The sequence below is a fragment of the Homo sapiens genome, chromosome 4 (genome assembly GCF_000001405.40).
Source record: "Homo sapiens chromosome 4, GRCh38.p14 Primary Assembly".
In the NCBI taxonomy this organism is placed as follows: Eukaryota; Metazoa; Chordata; class Mammalia; order Primates; family Hominidae; genus Homo; species Homo sapiens.
Genome location: NC_000004.12, coordinates 123,584,260 through 123,590,476, shown reverse-complemented (window position 1 = coordinate 123,590,476; position 6,217 = coordinate 123,584,260). Strand labels below are relative to the sequence as shown.

Below are 6,217 nucleotides of genomic sequence, written 5' to 3'. Positions count from 1 at the left end.
CACTTCAGCCTGGGCGACAGTGTGAGACTCCGTCTCAAAAAACAAAAAAAAAAAAACAAAAAAAAAAAACAAAAAAAAAAATGCAGAGTTGGGTAGTTGGGATAAAACCACATGACTCACAAAACATAACATATTTACTATCTGTTCCATTACAGGAAAAGTTTGACAGCTCCTCATTTAGAAGATCCCTAAGGAGTCATTAAGTGGTAATTGTCACAAAGTTTTCACGTGTAACAAATATTCTTCAGAATCTGCTGTCGTCTTATAAATCCACCAATCTCATTATCAACCCTCCCCTGTGACTGAGGCCCTGATTTCTTTCTTATTTGCCATTTCTCCGTGTCTGCAATTATTCACAAGATAACTGGGGCATCTACTACCATTGATTCTTCTTCTTTAGTAAACACAAAAAAATGAATAATCAGAGAAAGATGTGGTAAAGACTCTAACAATGCATTCAGAAGTCAACAGCAGGGATTGTAAGCAATCTCTCGTTGTCATTTTAGTTGGGGTATTTGACATAACCCATAAAGCATCCCTCAGTGACATACCTGAAGGCTGTTACTTGGAAAGTTGAGCCAGTAAACTCAAAGAAGAAATATGATATATAGCACAGCTTATTATCAAAAAGGTTTGCACCTCTGCCTTAACTAACATATCCCAGTCAAATGAATGATAGTGAAACTGAAATAACATGAAACAGCCAAAAATATATTGTTTATCATTTCAAAGTAAAATGCTAGACAAGGTCAAGGATAATGTATAGTATCTCACAAGAAATATTATCCCTAGAGCATGACGATTTTCCACATGATATTCTGGAATTTTAAAAAAAATTAAAATATTGATTATATGGGTCTTCTTTCCTCTGTAGTTGCTGTTTCATTTGACATATGATTAGAATTATGCAATTTATCTTTCTTCCTTCCGAGAAGTTGAGAAATATCAGAATTTTGAACTGGAAGGATCTTAGTTCAACCCTTTGAATTTTATTGGATGAAATTGAGGCCCAAACCACACACCCAACGGAAGAAAAACTGAACTAAAACTAAGATCTTCTGACTCTTAGTCAAAAATTCTTTTTTACACCATGATGAGTCCATTTATCTTCACCTGTTGGATATGTCAGTAGATAATTACTTGGTGAAGAAATACTAAGAGGAAGCTTTGTTGTATATACTTCCTTCGTGGTGATTTAAGTTAAATTCTGAGGCCCTAAGCAAAACTTTTAGAAAAGGTCCCATCACTGTTGATTAACTGCAGAAGAACTGAAGAGTAAACAGCTGTTCAAAGGAAAGTCCTCATCTTAGTGAGGTCAGTCCCACTTGGGCTGACCTCACTAAGACGCAGGCACCGCTCTGCTCAGGCAGTAGTTACGACCAACCGCCTTTGGAAAAACTTGTAGTTCTTTTTTTGGTTACTCCCACTGCCCCTCCTGTTCCCTAGAGTGCACAGTAAAGACTAGATGGCTTCTGTATAATGACTGTGGTCAGCTATAAATATAAGGAAAATGAACATGCAACGTCTTGATGTCAAGCTAATTTTAGCTTAACAGTTTCATTTTAAGTATGCCCAACCAAGACTGGACACACCATGGTTCAAGTTTTAAAAATAGAAATTACAAAACCACAGCGTGGAACCCAAATTGTTCAGATTGTAGTAACAGTGACTGAAATGCTCTTGGTGATGTTGCCAACAGGAGGCCCTTCAATGCACAGTGGTGAGCTCCCAAACCACATGGATAAATAGATTCGGTCACCCCTATGAGGTGAACAATAGACCCTATGTTGTGGCTTCGGTTCTGTTGTCATGAATGTAAATAATTTCTCATCATTCATATGTGGACAATGCTCTGTGTGTTACAGAACACATTCTGTGGGCAGGTGTGGAAAAGTTTTCTTACCAAGTTTTATATACTGCCATCTCAATCTTTTACCTTACCTTTTGGAGTTAGCAGCGTGTCTGACTACTGTTTCAATCCACAGAACAGCTACAGAATCTGTCTGAAGATTCCAGCCTGCTATTTTTCTTCAAATCTGGGTTTCAATCTTGGTTAATGTTTGCCCAGAAATATGTAATTGCGGACTTCCTCCTCATAAACCCTTCCAGAGTGTAGGCTGCCAGTCTAGCATGCTATTATTATCTCTTTGCCTCAGGGCTAACGCAGGGTGTGCCCTCGTAGTCACAGGATAGATGATAACCTGCTCCCTGCCAGGAAGCCAGGATGGTTAGCAGCTGCCGCTAAGAAAAAACACATCTTGCATGTGTCCAGTATTGTTTGTATTTCTTCTCCTTTGGATAAACAAATTTTAACTGGTTTATTAAAAACTCACAGGCTGGGCACGGTGACTCACGCCTGTAATCCTAGCACTTTGAGAGGCCCAGGCGGGTGGATTGCCTGAGCTCAGGAGTTTGAGATCAGCCTGAGCAACACTGTGAAACCCCCATCTCTATTAAAATACAAAAAAATTAGCTGGACGTGGCAACATGTGCTTGTAATCCCAGTTACTTGGGAGTCTGAGGCAAGAGAATTGCTTGAACCCCAGAGACGGAAGTTGCAGTGAGCTGAGATCACGCCATTGCACTCCAGCCTGGGCAACAGAGTGAGACTCGGTCTCAAAAAAAAATAATAAAAAGTAAATAAATAAATAAAAATAAAAACTCATGCTCGCCTTTTTCTTTCTTTTTTCTTTTTCTTTTTTTGAGAACTCATTTACTCTATTCACATTAGTGACTGTGATTTGGATGTGCCTGTTCTCTGTTCCTCACTCAACCTAACTTACAGAGGAATTATTTTCCATTCATTGAATGTCACTTCCTTGTGAGGCTCTGTTACACACCTGCCCCCCACCCACCTGCCCCCAGAACATGAGCACACACATACAGACAATATTAGAGTTTAAAGCAATATTTTTTGTTTTTGAGACAGGCTCTTGCTTTGTCACCCAGGCTGGAATGCAGTGGCACGATCATAGCTCACTGCAGCCTTGACCTCCTGGGCTCAAGTGATCCTTCCACCTTGGCCTCCTGGGTAGCTGGGATTACAGGTGTGTGCCACCATGCCCAGCTAATTTTTGTAGTTTTAGTAAAGATGGAGTTTTACCATGTTGTCCTGGCTGGTCTTGAACTCCTGGGCTCAAGCAATCTGCCTGCCTTGGCCTCCCAAAGTGCTGGGATTACAGGTGCAAGCCACTGTGCTCCACTTACTGCAACCTTCTTTAGGCTACCCTAGTACTGTATTACATCTCTATTATAAAATACCATGGGCTGACTTGTATTATATTTGCCTATGTCCCTTCACATTTACTTCTTCAGCTAGATTGACCTTCTTATTGATCTCTGTATTCTCAGGGCTTACCAGTTAGTTCAGGCCTAAAATAAACTTAATTAGTAATGTCTTTTGTACTAAAGTATGATTTACATATGTCAAATTCTCCCTTTTTCATGTACAGTTCCGTGAAATTTGATAAATACATGCAGTCATGTAACCACCACCACCACAATCAAGATATAGACAAGTTCCATTACCCCAAAACATATCCCATCCTATTGCAGCTAACCCCTTCCCCTCAGCCCCAGTCCCTGGCATCCCTGTTTTCTGTTCCTATGGTCCTGCATGTTATATATATATGAAAGCATTCAGTCTGCAGTCTTTAGAGTATGGCTCCTGTCACTTAATATAATGCATTTGAGATCCATCCAAATTATTACTGTTATTACTGTAGCAGTAGTTCATTCCTTTTTATTGCTAAGAAGTATTCCATTTATAAATCTGCCACAGTAATTATACCCATTCCCAGTTGAGAGACATTTGAGTTGTTTCCAGCTTGAGGAGATAGTGAATAAAGTAGCTATAAATAATCACATTCAGCTTTTTATGTGAATACACATTTTTATTTAATTTGGATAAATAACTAGAATAGGATTACTGGGTCATAGTAAGTACAGGTTTAACTTCATAAGAACCTGCTTAACTGTTTGCCAGAGGCTATATTTCCTTTCACATTCCCAGCAGCTATCTATGAATTCTAGTTTCTCTACATCCTCACCAACACGTAACATAATCAGTTTCTTTGTATTTTAGCCATTTTAATAGATGTAATTTTAATTTTCATCTCCCTAGAAATTAATGATGTTGAGCACATTTTAGTGTGTCTATTTGCCGTCCATACTTCTTTAGCAAAATGTCTACTCAAATATTTTATTCATTTTGGGGGGGTTGTTTGTTTTCTTGGAGTTTTAAAAGTTTTTTTGTATAGTCTGGACATGCATTCTCCACCAGATATGTGAATTACAAATATTTCTCCCAATCTGCTTAATAAATATTTTTAAATAAAAAAAAGTAGAAAAAAAACAGTTCTTTTGAAAAGGGTTTATGAGATTTGAATGCACAAATGATGCAGATTTATACCTTCACATCTACAAATGAGTATGCAAGATGCTTAGAATAAGGTAATAAAAAATGGTAATAGCAAATCTAAACCTACTACTGGGAAATTATTTAAGTGTAGCACACAGGGAGATTTGTTTTAGAGGGTATGCACATTTCTCAGATTGCTTTAAAAAATTATCATTTAAAAACTTTTTTTAAAGAAAACCATAATAGAAAATGTGTTACATACATTTTAATGGGAAAATCAGATATTAGTCTTTCAAATCATTGGGTTTTGTTGTTGTTGTTTTTTGTTTTTGAGACAGAGTTTTGCTCTTATTTCCCAAGCTGGAGTACAATGGTGCGATCTCAGCTCACTGCAACCTCCGCCTCCCATGTTCAAGCGATTCTCCTGCCTCAGCCTCCCGAGTAGCTGGGATTACAGGCTGGGATTACATGTGCGCGCCACCAAACCTGGCTAATTTTTTGCATTTTTAGTAGAAACAGGGTTTCACCATGTTAGCCAGGCTGGTCTCGAACTCCTGACCTCAGGTGATGTGCCTGCCTCAGCCTCCCAAAGTGCTGGGATTACAGGCATAAGCCACCACACCCGGCCCAAATCATTCTTATGATAGATAGCAGTTATTAGAATAGGTATGTATATTTACCAAGACAAATCTGACAGGTAAACTGTTCAGTACCGAAAGCCTCCTCCTGACTCCCATTGAATTAAGTCTGTGAAAAGCATATTAAAGGATTATGCAGTCAGCCTTTGTGTGTGGACATTCAAAGAAGGTTCTTTACTATGTAGACTGTGAACCTAACATTCCTAAGAGGATCTTCAGTTCCATAATAAAGTGTTTCATTGTCAATCCTATTGAAAGCAAGATTTTACAGGAAGGGAGAAAGTTTTGTTACTGTTTCTACAAATGAGGTATTCTGACTTCAAGTGAACACCAACTTGGATCAAAGGATCCAAATATACCAAATGTTGCATTTTTTAGGCATACTTATTCTCAACCAATCAATGAATATGTACTGTTTGCACCATTTTATAAACATCACAGAAGAAGTACTAGATATGGTTGCTACCTTCCTCAGGAATTCCTTCTGTTAAAGAGACTAGAAAATACAAAATAATAGCCACAACACAGTATTGACTATCACATAAAAACCAAAGACATAACAAGAAGGACAGGTTGGATGGAAAAAGAGGAAGCTATAAATACTCACTGATTTCTGTCTTGTAGGCTATTTCTCTATTAACTATCCAAAAATGCCACCAAATACAATGTTAGCTACAACAGTTTATGGGCACAATAAGGGTCAGGGCTAATGATATGAAGTCAACTTCTGAATATTATATTTTCACAACTCATTCTGGCTGTAAGTAATGCTCAGAGGAGGGATAAAATGAAAGACTAGCAAAGTCAGAGAAAATTCCACAGATGAAATGGGATATAAACTGAACCTTAAAGGGTGGGTAGATTTTGCTTAACAGAAGAGAGAGAGAAGAAAAATATGAAAGAACCAAAAGAACAGTTGTGGAATTTGTCACTCTTTGGCCTCCTGGGTAATCTAATGCCCTTGTCCATTGTGGGAACTAAGATACCAGATATTTGCATTCTAAGTCTCCCTGACAATTAGTCTAACACATGACCTAGGTTCTGCCAATTGGAATCACCTGCCCTAGACTTGAAATCAATGTCCAGTGCCATGTCGGGAAGAAGCAAGGAGCATGCAGCATGCATGTGAACCATGGATAACTGGATCTTCATCCCAGAGGCAGCCAGGGCAGGGGCTCAAGAAGCAGGACCCATGTCATAGGGGCCCGCGGTATAGTCA

At 38.6% G+C, this 6,217-nt stretch overlaps 2 annotated features.

Moving 5' to 3' along the window:
- Positions 1,596–1,645: an enhancer, noted in NCBI's record as "active region_21881". NCBI's record gives its function as "activates an Ori minimal core promoter by ATAC-STARR-seq in GM12878 lymphoblastoid cells {active_cell/tissue: GM12878}" and the evidence as "EXISTENCE:reporter gene assay evidence [ECO:0000049][PMID:35858748]".
- Positions 4,917–5,434: an enhancer, noted in NCBI's record as "NANOG hESC enhancer chr4:124506198-124506715 (GRCh37/hg19 assembly coordinates)". NCBI's record gives its function as "activates a minimal SCP1, AML or CMV promoter by ChIP-STARR-seq in naive H9 embryonic stem cells {active_cell/tissue: H9 hESC(naive)}" and the evidence as "EXISTENCE:reporter gene assay evidence [ECO:0000049][PMID:30033119]".